At 39.4% G+C, this 18,235-nt stretch overlaps 1 pseudogene, besides 1 other annotated feature; it reads right to left on the reverse strand.

The window, feature by feature from the left end:
* Nucleotides 3,261–18,112, reverse strand: CYP2AC1P (cytochrome P450 family 2 subfamily AC member 1, pseudogene; annotated as a pseudogene).
* Nucleotides 8,504–8,798: a silencer, noted in NCBI's record as "tiled region #6456; K562 Repressive non-DNase unmatched - State 8:EnhW". NCBI's record gives its function as "represses a minimal TATA promoter and a strong SV40 promoter by Sharpr-MPRA in K562 cells {active_cell/tissue: K562}" and the evidence as "EXISTENCE:reporter gene assay evidence [ECO:0000049][PMID:27701403]".

Raw genomic sequence — 18,235 nt, forward strand, 5'->3', positions numbered from 1 at the left:
CCTCCCTTCTCTCTTGCTCCTGCTCCCACCATGTAAGACAGCCTGCTCCCACTTTGTCTTCCACCATGATTGAAAGCTTCCTGAGGCTTCCCCAGAAGCAGAAGCCGCTATACTTCCTGTACAGCTTGCAGAAACATGAGCCAGTTAAAACTATTTTCTTTATAAATTACCCATTCTCAGGTATTTCTTTATAGCAGTCTGAGAATGGACTAATACATTTCTTTTGCAGACATTTCAGTTTTATTAAAATTTTCTTATTAACTTGACATTTACATGAAATATTATTATCAGACTAACCAAAAGAGCAAAGTTATTATTTGTCTTATTTTATGATTATTACTAAAATTTATTTTCTCATATTAATGTAAAAATTGACCGCTTCTGATGGCGGATACACTAAGTACGTCACTGCCAATATATAGTCATAGAGTCCTAAATACGGAAGGAAGATAGGGTTGCAACTAAAATTAGATTTTTTTTTTTTTTTTTTTTTTTTAGACAGTGTCTCACTCTGTCACCCAGGCTGGAGTGCAGTGGCACGATCTCGGCTCACTGCAACCTCTGCCCCCTGGGCTCAAGTGATCCTCCCACCTCAATCTCCCAAGTAGCTGGTACTACAGGCTTGCACCACCCATGCCTGGCTAATTTTTGTAGTTTTAGTAGAGACAGGGTTTCACCATGCTGGCCAGGCTGGTGTCAAAGTCCTGACCTCAGGTAATCTGCCCACCTCAGCCTCCTGAGTAACTGGGACCACAGGTGTGTGCCACCACACCCAGCTACTTTTTTTTTTTTTTTGTATTTTTAATAGAGATGGGGGTCTCACCATGTTGCCCAGGCTAGATTTCTTGATCTTTAATTAAAGCTGTTTCTATTCCCTGCAAGAGAAAGTAGTCCACTATTTCAGGGGTCTTCACCCACCAGGGCACAGACTGGTATTGGTATGTGGCCTGTTAGGAATGAGGCCACACAGCAGGAGGTGAGCAGCAGCAGGCAAGTGAGCAAGCTTCATCTGTATTTACAGCTGCTCCCCATCACTCACATTACTGCCTGAGCTCTGCCCCCCGTCAGATCAGCAGCGGCACTGGATTCTCATCTAGGAGCATGAACCCTATTGTGAACTGCGCATGCAAGGGATCTAGGCTGCATGCTCCTTATGAGAATCTAACGCCTGATGATCTGAGGTGGAGCTGAGGCAGTGATGCTAGCACTGGGAACAGCTGCAAATACAGATTAGCATTAGCAGAGTGGGTTGACTACACAGAGACCATAATAAATCAGTTGCTTGCAGACTCGTATCAAAACCCTATCAGTGAGTGGTAAGTGACAACCTGCATTTGGTAGCAGGCTTTATAGTGGCAAGTGAGTTGTACTTCAATTGTACAGCTGCATCTGGTGGCCTTAAGTTTGTTTGAAACAACTTCAAATCTCTGTATGTTCTGGATCAAAGTTAAGGTGGAATATCCTAAGATTCCCACAAAAGAAAGCACTGAAAAGCCTGCTTCCATTTTCAGTATCTTATCTTTGTGAAGCAGGGTTTTCTGCAGTGGCTGCAACCAAAATGAGATTACAGAGTAACCTGGACATATGGAACACACTTTCAATGTCACTGTCTCCCATCACCCCCAGATGGGACTATTACAGGAAACAAGCTCAGGGCTCCCACTGATTCCACCTTATGGTGAGTTGTATAATTATTTTCTTATGTAATACAATGTAATAATAAGAGAAATAAAGTGCACAACAAATGTAATGTGCTTGAATCACCCCAAAACCATCTCCCTCCCCACCCCTGGTTCATGGAAAAATTGTCTTCCATGAAACCAGTCCCTGGTGCCAAAAAGGTTGTGGACTGCAGAATTAATTTTGACTTTGGATTAAGAATTAACTGATATGTTATTGAACACCATTTGTGAACTAAGTGTAATTCAGAAAATGGAACTACCCCTTAAATGTGTTCAAACAATGAACTAAGATTAGCAGCTTCCATTTTTTTAATTATGTACAGTTTCATTTAGTTCAACTGGGAAGTCAGGGAACCAGAGTATTTTCCAATGGACTTACCTAATTCACACTGTATGCCTGTACCAAAACATCTCATGTACCCTATAAATACATACACCTACTACATACTCACAAAAATTAAAAATACAAAGTACAAACAAATTAAATGCTTTATAGAAAATACTGGTTGGGGATGACCAAGATCACCTAATGTTCCTCTCAGCTTAACTAAACTTTAAAGTTTTTTTGGGAAAATTTTTGTTTGTAAATTCTTTCTCTTCTCCTTTGAGATGTAAATCTATCAAAAAGTTTGCTAGTTTTACAATCCAGAAATGTCTTTCTCAAGGGCTTAGGAACCATCTTTTTGAAAAGTAGTAATCAAGGGATAAAACCCCCCTAACTCCCAGTCTCTGCGGAAGGGTAGGAGCCTGATTTGAACGTGAACCAATTAGCAAGCACAGATAACCTCATCACAGGGGAAAATATTTGTAAAGTTAGGAGTAACACAATGTTGTGGGCACATCCTACTGATGAAACTCTCCCTAACCTCCTTCAGTACTTTTTCATAGCTCACCCCACTGCTTTAAACCTTTCTGCTCTTTGTTTCAGCAGAGTTGCATTTAGACAATTCTAGCCTCTCTCCTCTGTTGCAATAGCCTTAAATAAAGTCTTCTTTGTTTGACTTTATCTAGTGCAATTTTTTCTTTGACAAAAATCAGCTAACAGCAGGGGAGAAGGATTTATGTTGATGATGGGGAAGTATTTGATTTCATAAAGGCTAAAGATGCTTTGTGTATCAGTTGTGTATCAAGCAACTGACAATGATTTCTTTATGGTGCTGATAGGAGTCCCTTGCTCATGCCTTTGCTGGGACTTCAGAGCACTGAAAACAGGGACGTGGGAGTCTTCAAGTTCCAACCTTGCTAAAAAAAAGAGTGAATACCTTTTTGTTGTTGTTGAGACAGAGTCTCACCCTGTCACCCAGGCTGGAGTGCAGTGGCACAATCTCAGCTCACTGCAACTTCTGCCTCCCTGCTTCAAGCAATTCTCATGCCTCAGCCTCCAGGGTAGCTGGGATTACAGGTGTGTATGACCAAGCCTGGCTAATTTTTATTTTTATTTTTATTTTTTTGTATTTTTAGTAGAGATGGGGTCTTGCTATGTTGCCCAGGAAGGTCTTGAACTCCTGGACTCAAGTGATCTGCCTGCCTTGGCCTCCCAAAGTGCTGGGATTACATGCGTGAACCACTGTGCCCAGCCAGGAGTGAATACTTTTGATCTCAGCAAGCTGGCTGTATGCCCAAACAATTCTCTGTTATTAACCATTGTTTTTTTAGTTATTCACAGAGTAAAACCATTGCCTCATGTTTAGTATGATGTGATCCTCACTTAAGAGTTGAATTTTCTTTATTGCAGTTTTTTTCATTGCCATTTTGGTGACGTCCATGATCTCAGGACAAAGTGTTATAAAGTACCTTCCCCTCACAAACACACATCAATTATAACTACTGATTGGTGACAGAAGGACCAGTTTCATGTTTGAAAGACAAAACCCTAAAGCTCTAAGTGAAGGTTCTATTTGTGAAATGTTTTATTTATTTGTTGGATGGAGGATGGCAGTAAGGATGTTTCCACTACAGCAGTTAGCATAGGAACTCATTCTGATGTGACATGAGAATGCTCTGTGATGGTACAGCTGACCACCTAAATAATCTCAAACCGCTTGGCAGAATACTGTGGCCGGCGAAGTGCAGGAAGGAGAAATTCATGCTACGGACAAGATAACAGTGAGAACTGAGGCTCCGGCGCATATGCAGAGCCTAGGCCTGGGCAGAGCGTAGGTCTTATGAGGCACTGGTCAAGTGGTGAAGCCAACGTCCAGGCTTAGGTCCAGGTCCAGATGGGAGACTCCAGGGAGTGGCTGGAAGGTGAACTTTGCAGGAGGCTGGTGAAAAACAGGAAAAGCTCCTTCCTGCGAATGACTCACCAGCACACATCCGGCGACCTGGACACAGACATGCTGGGGGGTTATAAAACATATTGGCACAAAAATCTGAAAAACAATCTAGACAAAGACAAAAACAGTCCACATGTGATTTCTTCTATTTTGGAATGTGTAGATCACTCACTTAACTTTCCCTGAGCTTCATGAGCTCTGCCTTCCAGTTTAAGCCCTGGAAATACATAACGAAGCACAAAAGCCAGCTTTGCTTTATGAGCTCCATGGAAAAGACACACAATAAAATGGTCATATTTTAATGTGAAAAATGTTAATGACAAGTAAAGCCAAGTGTGTCAAGGGGACATAGTAAAGGGGCCTAATGTGGCTTGGAGAGTCAGGGAGGGCTCGTGCTTTGTACAACGGCTTTGTATCTAAACTCTCATACAAAGGGTGAGAAGTTGGCCAGGCAAAGATGGGGAATTTGTGGAAGGGGTCATGAAAGATTTGAGGGCTGGAAGAAATTTCACTCTGGCTAGGGCATAGAGCGCGAACTAGGTTCTCAGACCCGAAGCCAGAGGAATGAGTAGAAACTACATCACGGGACCTTGGAAACCAACGTTAAGAAGCTGCCAAAGCACCTTGAGGAGAAAGACTTGATTAGTATTATATTGAAACATGAATTATTTGGGAAATGTCAAGGTGTCTGAAAAGTGGAATGAGTTAAAATTGAGGAAGGAAGCATTCTAGGTAAGTTTTTATTAAAACTACTGTGGTCTTAATGATTATACATATGTATTTCTTAAGACATTGTGTTGAGAATGGTATTTTTTTTCAGCTTAAGTTTAATGAGCTTTGTGGTTGTTTTACAGAGCAAAGATAGCCTACTGCACTGAAATGTAGTATTATTAAATGTTTCTACTTCCAGTCCTTCAGAAGACCCAACCAGGTCTTTTCATTCCTGCTCCCATAGTCTGTAAATCCTAAACTTGCTGCTTGCTGCTTGTCAGTAAAATGTTGCATATAATTTAGTTAGATTTCATGTTTTTGTTTCTTTAATTTACAAGGTAAGTGTGATAAGTGTACTGAAGACTTCAAAGCTCAGAAAAATATTTAAAAGCAGATATATTGACCAGGTGCAGTGGGTCACCCCTGTAATCCCAGTACTTTGGGAGGCTGAGGCAGGTGGATCACCTGAGGTCAGGAGTTTGAGACCAGCCTGGCCAACATGGTAAAACCCTGTCTCTACTAAAAGTACAAAATTAGCCAGGCATGGTGGTATGCACCTGTAATCCCAGGTATTCCAGAGGCTGAGGCAGGAGAATCACTTAGAACCTGGGAGGCGGAGGTTGCAGTGAGCCAAGATCGCGCCACGGCACTCCAGCCTGGGTGACACAGGGAGACTCTGTCTCAAAAAAAAAAAAAAAAAAAAAAAGCATTATTTATATAGGACTTCCAGCAAATAGATTAACTCCAAGAATGAGAAACATTTTCTCACTATGTCTGATAACAAAGCAAGCTTTTTGGGAGGTGAAAGGCTGCAGATAGTGCCTGGAAATGCTTGTTAAATAAGAGCTAACCATTCAATTCACAAATGTATGTTTCATAGCAACAAGATTGATATGTTTAATGTCAATGTCGCTTGAGCTTGGCTCTGAGATTTGCTCTCAAGGGGTTTGCTGTGTAATAGGTGAATCTTACAGTAAATAGGTAGTTTTTTGTTGTTGTTGTTGTTGTTGTTTGTTTTTTTTTTTGGAGACAGAGTTTCACTTTTTCACCCAGGCTGGAGTGCAGTGGCACAATCTCAGCTCACTGCAACCTCCGCCTCCCTGGTTCAAGCAATTTTTGTGCCTCAGCCTCCTGAGTAGCTGGGACTACTGGCATGAGCCACCACCCCACACTAATTTTTTGAATTTTAGTAGAGACAGGGTTTCACCATGTTGCCCAGGCTGGTCTTGAACTCCTGAGCTCAAGCAACTTGCCTGCCTTAGCCTCCCAACGTGCTAGGATTACAGACGTGAGCCACTGTGCCCAGTTAAATAGTAATTACTGATAAATAATTTTTATCAGTATTACAAGATAGAGTGCTGGGGTTGCCCATGGAAGGAAGGCCTAATCTAGCTTTTTGGGTTAGATTTTCCCACTTGCCCAGAAATAAATGCATGATTGAGCGGTGTCATCCAACTGGATGATAAATAAAGCAGCTTAAGGTATATATTATGTACCCTATGTTTAGGCATTATTCAGTTTTATGGCAGGAGTCTAGCTATCCAATAAGATAAATTACATATTATTATTGTTTATTCTTGAGAGTAAGGGAAGACAGTAGGATGATCTCATTTATTTTTTTAATTAATTACCTTTTTTTTTGAAATGCAGTTCTGCTCTTGTCACCCAGGCTGGAGTGTAAAGGCACAGTCTTGGCTCACTGCAATCTCTGCCTCCCAGGTTCAAGTGATTCTCCGGCCTCAGCCTCCCGAGTAGCTGGGATTACAGATGCCCACCACCATACCCGGCTAATTTTTGTATTTTTGGTAGAGACAGGGTTTCACCATGTTGGCTAAGCTGGTCTCGAACTCCTGATCTCAGGTGATCCGTCTGCCTCGCAAAATTTCTATCTGAATGCAGTAAGTAATAAATGTTAAGGAAATAATTGAAGAAAAGAGTGCCTTAAACACTAGAGGAATATGAAGATTTGAAGAGATTGTGGCACTCATGATTGAAACACAAAATTAGTTTTATAATATTAATTTTTCTCACTGTAACAGTTTAACGATGATTGTATTTTAAGAATATTTCCAGCTGGGTGTGGTGGCTCACATCTGTAATCCCAGCACTTTGGAAGGCCAATGTGGGTAGATCACCTGAGCCCAGGAGTTTGAGACCAGCCTGGGCAACATGGTGTAACCCTTTCTCTACTAAAAATACAAAAATTAACTGGGCATGGTGCCATGAACCTGTAATCCAAGCTACTTGGGAGGCTGAACTGGGAGGATCGCTTGAGCCTAGGAGGTCGAGGCTGCAGTGAACTGTGATCATGCCACTGCACTCCAGCCTAGGCAACAGAGAAGACCCTGTCAAAAAAAAAAAAAAAAAAAAGGAATATGTATGCATTTTTGCCTAAAATAAAAATAGTATTATTACTGGATTTTCTGGATTAAAACAGAAAAAAAAAAGGTCAAGTATAACTAGGGAAGTTTAGAATTCCTGAAGTAAACAGCAAAATCCTTTGAGAATAAGCCACTCTGAAAATCTGGACTATTGCTACTTGTCTCTTAGTACAAAGAAGCCTCCAGGTCCAGTTGTGTAAGAAACCAGGAAGAGCTTATATACAATATTGATTAGAGCTCAAGAGACAAAGTAAAAGAATTGTTCATAGTGAAAAGGGAGTGTTAAGAAAAACATAATTCCTTCCCTCCAAATACTAACAGCAGTAAGTCCAAGAGTCTGGAAAAGAGTCTGAAAAAAAAAAAAAACTTTATGCATGAAAAAATTATTGCTCCATGTCTTCTCTTACAAAATGATGGCTCAGTGTCAGATGTTGTTAACGTGCACTCCAGAGACCATTGTTTATGTTTCTAGGCTCTTTTTCTTTTGTTTTTTAGAAAAAACAAAATGTTGTTTTGAAATGTTGAGAGACATCGAGTTTATAACACTGCAAATTATATGCAGATTGTTTTTCATTTTTTAAAATTCTTGTTCCAGGTGTGATATTACATTTTTTACTTGAAAGTCATTAATCCAGGTAATATTTTCTCATGTATCCTCTTGTGTGTGTGTGTGTGTGTGTGTGTGTGTGTGTGTGTGTGTGTAAAAATCAGGAGACTGAATTATACTGTGTATCTTTTATTACTTAGTTACCAGTAGGTGAAGAAAGACTATTCTTGGGTGGCTGCTGTTTATCCATCACTGAGTGGATATCTGGAGTGAATGTTAAGCCATTGTTTGTATAAGCAGAAAGGCCAAAAATCACAAACTGCTTGTGGTGCAGCTTTGCTGTGACTCTGCTAGGAACAGAGAATTTATTTCAAGTTCGTAGGCTTCAGACATTTATGGAACAAATTCATTTCGTTCTCTGAATTTCAAAATTAACACTAGCGGAAAGCTCTTTCCTCCCACCTACCTTCCCCAAAGAAATCCTAAAAACAAAACAAAACAACAACAACAAAATCTTCTATTTACACATATTATTAAGGCAGAACTTTTTTGGTTGGGGTAAAGTTGCTGCCAACTGTCTTTCTGTTGCTTAACTTTCTCCTCAAACTCCTGAGGTTCTACCCTAGCCTCAGCCACAAGGAGTCTTCAAAGATTCCCTTAGAAAATGTTGCTTTAGTGCCTAGTGTCCCAGAGCCAATTTAGAACCAGTTCTGAAGTTTAGTGCTATATGGAAAAGTACGAAACCTTAGCACAGTCTTAAGTCTCTCCAGATTTTTCAAACCGCCTTTCTCAAGTAAGATACATTACCCACTGAAAGGGCAGGAACGCTTCTCTCTTGATAAACTTTTCCTTAGAGTTGAGGAAATGCTCAGGATTAAAAGTGTCTGGTTTTTCCCACTGTGCTTGATCTCGAGCTACTGAAGCCAGCAAGATGATAACCTCAGTGCCCTAGAAATACAAATGTTCGTATTAGTAACAGAGATTAAATTTCTTCCTAAAAAGGTCACTCTCTAAAGACATATCATGATCTTGGTTGGCAATTACTCAGAAGCAGGGTGTTCTGGAAGGAAATGGAAGAAGGGGAAGCCGAACAGTGGCAGGTGGACTTGAGGCTTAGTGTGGAGTATTCGCTTTCCTAACCACATGTTTATTCATGTGCTTACTAAAAAACTCAAGCCTTGGACTCAGAACTGGGAACAAATTCTTACTTAGCCATCTAGTGGCTATGTGATAACAGCATGTCATTTAACTTTTGATAAACCCCACTTTCTATATTTGTATAATGAGAGTTAAATAGTCTTCATCTGAGACTGAGCCTTAGAGGAAAGGATACATGTGAAAGAAACTGGCACAGTTCCTGGAAGGTTTGGGGGCTCTATGAAGGTTGGCTTTTATCTCCAGTGACTATGATAGTGGATATTAAATCAAACAAGCCCATTCCAAACATTCTCAAAAACAAGTTTCCCTGCTTCCAGAGCTTGCTGCATACTGGGAAACAACTTTCTACAAAAGAGAAAGTAATTTTAATTGTGATGTGGGAAAGGATATTCTGAGAACTAAAATAAATAAAATAAAATAATGATAAAAAACAAAATCTCTCCACCAAATTAAGAACAATATTCTCTACTTCATTTTGGTTCATTACAGTTGCCTCTTTTTAAATTTTATTTATTTATTTATTTATTTTGAGACAGAGCCTAACTCTGTTGCCCAGGCTGGAATGCAGTGGCACGATCTCAGCTCACTGCAAGCTCTGCCTCCCATGTTCGAGTGATCCTCATGCCTCAGCCTTCTAAGTAGTTGGGAATACAGGTGTGCACCACCACACTCAGCTACTTTTTTTTTTTTCGGTATTTTTAATACCATAAAGAGATGGGGTTCACCACGTTGGCCACGCTGGTCTCGAACCCCTGGCCTCAAGTGATCCACCCACCTCGGCCTCCCAAAGTGCTGGTATTACAGGTATGAGCTGCCATGCCTGGCCCTACAGTGGCCTCTTTAAGAAGGCTTTGTAATACTATCTTGGTGATTAGCTGTTTTACAACATGAATCTGTATAGTTTTTCAAATTACAAAAAGCAAACAACTGCTTTAAAATGTTCTGTTTTAAAACTTTAGGCTGGGTGTGATGGTGCACACCAGTAGTCCCAGCTACTCATGAAGCTAAGGCATGAGGATCGCTCAAGTCCAGAAGTTCCAAGGCTAGCCTGGGGCAACATAGTGTGACCCTATGTTTAAAAAAAATAAAAAATAAAAAACTATCTGTCTATTTATCTATGAGTGATTATTTGTATCCTGATATTGTGCAGACTTTCTCCTCCTCATAGCAACTGTGCTAGTTGTTTCCATTTCACAAAAAAGATGATTGAGGCCAGGAATGGTGGCTCACACCTGTAATCCCAGCCCTTCGGAAAGCCGAGGCGGGTAGATCACCTGAGGTCAAGAGTTTGAGACCAGCCTGGCCAACATAGTGAAACCCCATATCTACTAAAAATACAAAAAATAGCCAAGCGTGGTGGTATGCACCTGTAATCCCAGCTATTTGGGAGTCTGAGGCAGGAGAATCGCTTGACTGGGAGGCAGAGGTTGTAGTGAGCCGAGATCCTGCCACTGTACTCCAGCCTGGGCAACAGAGTGAGGCTCCATCTCAAAAACAAAACAAAACTAACAAAAAAACAAATAAAAAAAGAGATGATTGTGGCTGAGTCTCTGTAGCAAATAAGTGAGACCCCCTATATCTTCCTTCTCCTTCCTTCCTTCCTTCCTTCCTTCCTTCCTTCCTTCCTCCCTTCCTTCCTCCCTTCCTTCCTTCCTTGACAGGGTCTTGCTCTGTCACTCAGGCTGGAGGGTAGTGGTGCAATCATGGCTCATTGTAGCCTCAAACTCCTGAGCTCAAACAATCCTCTTTCTTCAATCTCTTGAGTAGCTGAGACTACAAATGCATGCCACCACATCTGGCTATATTTTAAATTATATTTGTAGAGACAAGGTCTTGCTATGTTGCCCAGGCTGGTCTTGAACACCTAAGCTCAAGCGATCCTCCTGCCTTGACCTCCCAAAGTGCTGGGATTATAGGCGTAAGCCACCATACCTGGCCCCCTTTCTAATACAATGCTCAACCTAGCTCACAGCAAGGTAAGTGGGTGGAACTACAATCCTGCCACTATTACTGTTTCTATGGTCTTTAAAAATTCTTTTGACATAGTTTATATTTGTTTTCTATTTCATTGCTAATCTCACTCATTCAGCCCAACAGTGTTTAACGTGTGCCCAGAAGAGAAGCTCAAAGATGGATGTAGTCTTTTTGTCCCCACGGAATAGGAAGTGATAGTGAGGGGAGAGGCCCACATAACCAGTGATTTTGTGGATTCATGCAGAGGTGGGCCCAGAAGCAATGAGGAAACTAGGTATCAAGAAAAAAAATTAGCACTATGGGTATACCATGTAACTTTATGGCAATTTCTGCCTTCAGTTAGGAAATATCTACACATAATTCCTCAGTTTACCAGGGGAAATCAGAGGGGTGCATCTGGGTATCTCAATGTTAGGAAGCAGAGGGCATGAGAGTGTCTCTGTGAGAGGACGGAAGTGAAGCCTGGAGGTAACCCTAGCGAGAGGACTGTGTGGGGAAAGCACAGGCTCTGGGAGGAGCACACCTTACCTGGGACTCTGGCTCCCTATAGGCCAACCATGCATTCCTGACACTTGCTGGAACTCTCTGAACCCCAGTTTTCCCAACTATAACATAAAATGTCATACTGTCTTATAAAGTTTCACAGAATAATTGTCATCCTTAATTATCCACTAATTCATCCAATAATTATCACACATGCATACACAGACATTCAGTTACCTTTTGTTGAATGATAGGGAAGGAAGCAAAGAGAGGGAAAGAAGAAGGAAGGGAGGAAGGGAGGAAGAGGGGAGGGAGGGAAAGGCAGGCTGGGGTTGTCTTTGACAGTTTATCTCAGTGCTTCTGTGATTGTAAGCATCAGAAGTTTTCTCCCCTTACCTCCCCTTCTTAAGCCTTACCTTTGGAATGCAGTAATTTTTAAATATATTTGTGGTTGTTGCATGGGATAAGCTTGTGGGCAGAATGTTAGCAAATCTTTGTACTTCTTAAATGACAGCATCTGTGTGTGTCATTTGAGTTCGGTGTGCAAGTCAAGATTGGGCCGATACCACAACTTTGGTGATCTCATTGTGGACCTTTTCTGGTTAAAATGGAATTAAACTGTTTAGAGTCTGGGCTGGGAGTGGGTGTTGGAACATTTTCTTTACTTGCGGAAATTAAACCCAGTGTTCTTCCAATTTTGGTTCATTTTTTCCCTGCACTGCTTCCACCTCTCGGCCTCTATTCCTAAAGCTCTTCTGGGAACCTGCACGTTGTGGTGCCTTCAGAGCATCTTAGGATGCTTAAAGAGCAAAATCTACTTTCTTATATCGAAGGGAAACTAAAGATACAGACTATCCTCAAGGTACAGATTACAGGTTACCCTCTGTGATTATAAAATTCTGCATTTGTCCAGTCCAAGAGATTTCTGGTTTCTCTCTTTCAGACAAAGCTCAGAATCTTAGGAGACTTACTCTGGACCTCAGGATATCTCATCACGAGCAAAATTCCCCAGTGCAATGTGGAGGCTGTGGTCTCTGTACCTGTCGTGAACAGATTATTAACAAGTGTCACCAACTTTTTATCACTGAAATAGTCAGCAAATGTGTCATTCTCCTGAAAGAGTAAAATGAACCACCGATGAAATAATTTTGTAATGGATAACCATAACAAGTACCTTATCATTGATTTAAAAAACAAAGCATTACGTTTTCTCATCAATTGAGTGGAGTTTTTTAATTATACAAATATAGTGAAGAATTTTAGGATAAAGCACATTCCAGAATACATAATTCTAAAAATGAGCAAGGCTGTTTGCCACTTGGAAGGTGGGAAATTAGTTTTAATTGAATGATTAGAATATTGCCAGCAGTTTCTTAAACAAATTTTAATTAAATAATTTTTCTCAGGTTTGCCAATTTAAATATTTCTCAAGGCTGAGAAAAAAATATTAATTCTAAAAACTAACACATGTGAGATCTTCTGTATGTTTTGTTTTTTTTTCAGAAAGTGATATAAAATGTGGTGGGGAATATTCAAGAATGTAAAATGTAATAAATAGCATTATTTGGAGTGTACAAATTACCAGTAACTTGAGTAAAGTAATCTTTCTTCAAAAGAAATGTTTTTCCTTCAGATGCTATTAAACCAAATGATAAAAAATAGGCTATGGAAACCTCTAAAGAAAAAAACATGAGCTCCTGCTGTGTTACCAAAAAGACATCAGTGAAATTTCTTGGATCATTTTTGTCAAGTTTATGATGGTGATCTAGAAAGGCCATCCTTATAAAAGAAAACAACTCATCTCTATTTCTGAGTATGGTCTTATGACTTTTTAGGAGAAACCCCAAAACAAGAAACATATTGAAAAGCTAAAAGAATAATTTTAAAAAGTAATTAAATATACATATGTACAACTTGTGACAATACAAAGAACATTATTTCTGAAAGGATTATAGAAATAGCACCTTGAATTTTACCTCAACTATTAGGTTGGAGCAAAACTGCAATTACTTTTGCACCAACCTAATAACAGTGGCAGACTGAACTAGATGAGATTTCCTCAATTTTTGGAATTAACTAACCTACAATGAATACTGATATGGCTTACACTAAGTTCTATGTACCCAGAGTATTTTGTATGTTATTCCTGTGGCAATAGCTCTAATTAGAGGTTAGATGGGGCATGAAAATAATATTGGCTTTATGTTAAGAGCTATAAATCCAAGTGTTTTTCTTACAAAATCCTGGGTGATTGCAGGTGAACAATCAAACTATTTTAGTTGTACATAACACCATAATCTTACCACTACTGTCTTCTGTAAGATCACAAAAACTAAAAAGTTTATAATGGACTTACTATTCACAGGTCCTATAGAGCAGCACTACTTAATCTAATATTCACTGATTCTTAAAAAGTTCAGGAAGGACTTTATTGTTTGCTAAATTTTGTGTTTGTTAATATATTCAGTTTTGGGGAGATAGGGTCTATGTACTTAGTCGTATTTAGTCATATTCTCAAAGGAGTTCATGAGCCTTCAAATGACTTAATAAACCAACATAAAATGCCCTATCTAAAATTAAACAGTATAATTGTCTGTTTCAGGGTTGCCAAGCACCTGTATTTAGAGTAAGTCTATATTTATAGTAACAGAGCCTAAATTATTACAAAGTGAAGTAATATGGTTGTCAGTGATGCTATTCAAAATGAAATCTATTTGAGAAGGCTCTTTTTTCCTAGATTCTAGAAGACAGTGACTTTATCACTCACAATGATAAAATATTGAATTTTAGCACTATTGTGAAATTCTATAGCTCAGAATAAATACTAAAGTTTTATTTAGCACTTATGGTTTTTTGTATTTGGTAGTTGTCGGGGATCAGAAAATAATACCCCGAAATGAAGGCCTCAGAAGCAGCCTCAGAAGCATAAGTTTTTCTCTGACCCTCTCCTATCAGTCCCCTTCTCTCTTGAGCCTAGCCATAGAAACTAGAACCCCTTTTCCACAAAGCCAGAGCACCTCAGGATGCTTGAAGAGCAAAATCTACTTTTGTGTGTGTGTGTGCCCTGTCACTCATGCTGGAGTACAGTGGTATGATCTCGAGTTTGAGCGATTCTCGTGTCTCAGCCTACAGGTGTGCACCACCATGCCCAGCTAATTTTTGTATTTTTAGTAGAGACATGGTTTTGCCATGTTGGCCAGGCTGGTTTCGAACTCCTGACTTCAGGTGATCCACCCACCTTGGCCTCCCAAAGTGCTGGGATTATAGGCGTGAGCCACCACACTCGGCCCAAAATCTACTTTTGGTGGGAGAATTATCAGATGTGTTAACCAAACAAGCCCTAAACCTAAAAATATTACTCAATTTTTCCCTCTGCCTTTCTGTGTAAAAGCTAGCCATAAAGAAATTATCTGACTCATCTTGTTTGACTGTAGGTCATAAGACTCCCATTCTAGAGAGGGTCCTGCCCATACCCAAGAGGAAGGAATGCTGCTCAGAGAGGCCAAGAGGAGTCTAGACAGGCCTGCTGGGTTTCCTCACTCTGTCTGTTAGCATTAGAACACACTCTTATTGTATCTCTCTAATAATTATTGAACAAAATCATAAAAATGGACAATTTCTCCTGTGTCTTTGGGTCTTCTTTCTGAAGGCACCAGTGTATACATGTTTTTGCCTTTTCTCCACAAAATCTAGTTTTTTAGGGTTGATTTTTCAGCAAAACTTCAGAGAGCAAAAGGGAAATTTTCCCTTGGCCCATACATAAATCGTACTTTTTACTTCATAAAATTCACTCTCCTCAGTGAATTCTATTGAGTGTTCCTTGTTCACTCATTGCTTTTACCACATTCTGTGCTTAACTAGCAGTATAGGTAGAAGGTAGCCAGAATTATAAGAACTTACATGTGATATTGGTGGGATTCACAATCCCTGTATCATAATTTACTTGATGTACTATTTTATGAGGGGAGAATTAGCAGATGTGTTAGCCAAACAAGCACACCACTTCTGTGTACTCAGAATGTTCCAAACAAGCATACATTTGTGAAATAGCAATTCTCTAATGCTTTTTCATAGTCACTTTTAACAATCAAGTGTACCTCAGAGAAATTAAAAGTGAATAGCAATGATACAGTTACTGCAATTCTAAGACCTCCAATGAATTTCACATTTTCACCAGTCAAGGCTAAGAGTCTCAGGAACTGGGAGTCTTGTAGTCAAACCATTTTCCAAGCAACACTAATACAATGATCTTAGCAACAGAAGCATTCATTATTGTTTTGATTTCAAAAGGCTTTCCTACGAGATAACTCATTAATCAAGTTAGGAATATTAACATATACAGTATTAAACCAGTTCTAGACTGATTGGGACATATTGTCAAGGAAAGGATTTTATAAAAGAAAGGGATTATTGATGACTATAATTTTCAAGGAGAGATGAGACTTGAACAGGCCTTGAAAAATACCCAGAATTTGTTCAAAAGATTGCCACGAGGAAAACTAAAACTATATGTCAAAGGAAACCTGCATTTGGTTTAGCTAAAGAAACAAAAATGTGCCAGATGAGGGCATTTTAGTGCCTGTGTAGTGTGTGTGTCTGTATGCAGCTTGTGTGTGTGAGTGTGTGTGTGTGTGCATGCATACACGTGTGTTTGGGGGCGGATGGGTAATGCATAATATCTGGGAAAATGTCACTTCAAACTAATAGGCTGCATTCAAGTTTAAAATAGGACATCTAGATGATTGAAATGGTTTCATTTAAAAATACTTCATCCAGGGCAGCTCCCTGTTTTAATTTCCCCTGTTACTGCATCGTGTTTTTCTCAGCATCATTAAAGACTGTTTAGATTACTTAACATATCAGTGAATGGGGATACATTTGTAAGTGAAGAGCATTGTAGTTGCTAAGATTTACTCTTAAAATCATCACCTGGGTGGTCACAGCGGCTCACACCTGTAATTCCAGCACTTTGGGAGGCCAAGGCATGTAGACCATTTGAGGTCAGGAGTTCGAGACCAGCCTGACCAACATGGCAAAACCCTGTGTCTACTAAAAATACAAAAAATTAGCCGGGTGTGGTAGCACATGCCTGTAATCCCAGCTACTCTGGAGGCTAAACAGGAGAATCACTTTAACCTGGAAGGCCAAGGTTGCAGTGAGCTGAGATCATACCAATGCACTCCAGCCTGGATGACAAGTGTTGAATTCTATCTCAAAAAAAAAAAAAAAAAAAAAGGGGGAAAAAGAAGTCATCGCCCACCTTAAATGTAGAGGCTGAAAGCCTAGGGGAAGTCTAATGGAGAATACATTTTCTTTTTCAATACAAATGGGAGAGCTTGGGGAAAGCTGTGTAAACGAAGCCCTGAGGAATTAATGTGCATTAGGAGTTTAACACTGGGGGAGGAATAGTCATTTTTGTGTATGTAATTCCTCCAAACTGCCAAGACCCACTCTTTCTAAACATACAGGTACTGCTAATTTAACACATGAGTTCTTGAGTCCTTTGTTTCTCATCTCCATGTATTCCCAGGTTGTCTACCTTTGATCATTTCACTTCATATTAATTCTTGCATCAAATTAGCTCATTTTGAATAAGGAATGAGCTCAGTTTAATGAGGAAATGAGTAAAACTCTTGACATGAAAAACGAGATTTTTAGATTGTTCCTCCCATATATTGCTGAACATAATATGGCATTTGATATAGTTTGGTTGTGTTCCCACCCAAATCTCGTCTTGAATTGTAGTTCCCATAATCCCCACGTGTCGTGAGAGGGACTCAGTGGGAGGGAATTGAATCATGAGGGTGGTTTCCCCCATGTTATTTTTGTGATAGTAAGTTCTCATGATATCTCAGGGTTTTATAGGGGGCTTCCCCCTTTACTCTGCTCTCATTCTTCTCTCTCCTGCTGTCTTGTGAGGAAGGATGTGTTTGCTTCCCCTTCCAACATTATTGTAAGTTTCCGGAGGCCTCCCCAGCCATGCTGAACTGTGAGTCAATTAAACCTCTTTCGTTTATAAATTACCCAGTCTCAGGTCTTGGGTATGTCTTCATAGCAGCATGAGAATGGACTAATGCAGAATTAATTCCATTTATTATGGAAAAGGATCAGAAACACACTCATTACTGAGGAATTGTTCTAGATTAAAGGAGGGAAAAGAAACATGACAACTGAATGCAATCATAATTTAAGATTTCCTTTTGTTCTTAAGAATACTATTGGGACAATGGCAAAATCTGCATAAGATCTGCAGATTAGATGATAATATGTTAATGCTGATTTTCTGATTTTTGAGAATTGTATTGTGTTTATGTAGGAGGATGTTTTTACTTATTGTTAAGAAATATTAAAGCATATAGGAATAAAGGCAAAGTATTTCTTCAAAGTACTCTCAAAGAGTTCAGAAAAAATAATATAGATTACATAGGTAGATACATAGACCAAGAGTGAGAGAGAGAGTGAGAAAGAGAGAAAGAGAACATGTACAAATGTAAAATGCTGATGTAGAGGATATTGGAGAAGAGTAGAATGGTAGTTGGGGATTATTTGTATATTCTTGGAATTTTTCTATAAGTCTGAAATTATTATCTTGACAAAATAAACAATTAAATATATCTTTTGTTGACTTCTTTCTGATGAAAAATAAGACATGGTTTTATTTACCCTACACACCTCTGTGAAACTCAAAGTTCTGTATGAGATTCTGGCATTCCTCTATAATTGTGTCTTCTATGATCCACTCACCCATTCCAAAATTTCGTAAGGTGGTCAAGCTGAACCGTCTCATAGTTTTCCAGGTTTCACCATGAGAGAAGGCAATTCCTTATAATGAAGGAAATGTCCTTAAATTATTACTTCTAAGCTTTTTAAAATTTAATTTTTAAGTACAAGTAAAAATTAAAAATATAGGTAAATTCTCCCTGTTGAAAATAAAAGAAGAAACTTCTCCCTCTCTCCTTTCTTTACTTAGAGATTTTACTTTAAAAAACTTTGCAAGTACTTCCTCTTCTCTTTGAAATGTTC

Source organism: Homo sapiens, chromosome 6, assembly GCF_000001405.40.
Source record: "Homo sapiens chromosome 6, GRCh38.p14 Primary Assembly".
NCBI lineage: Eukaryota > Metazoa > Chordata > Mammalia > Primates > Hominidae > Homo > Homo sapiens.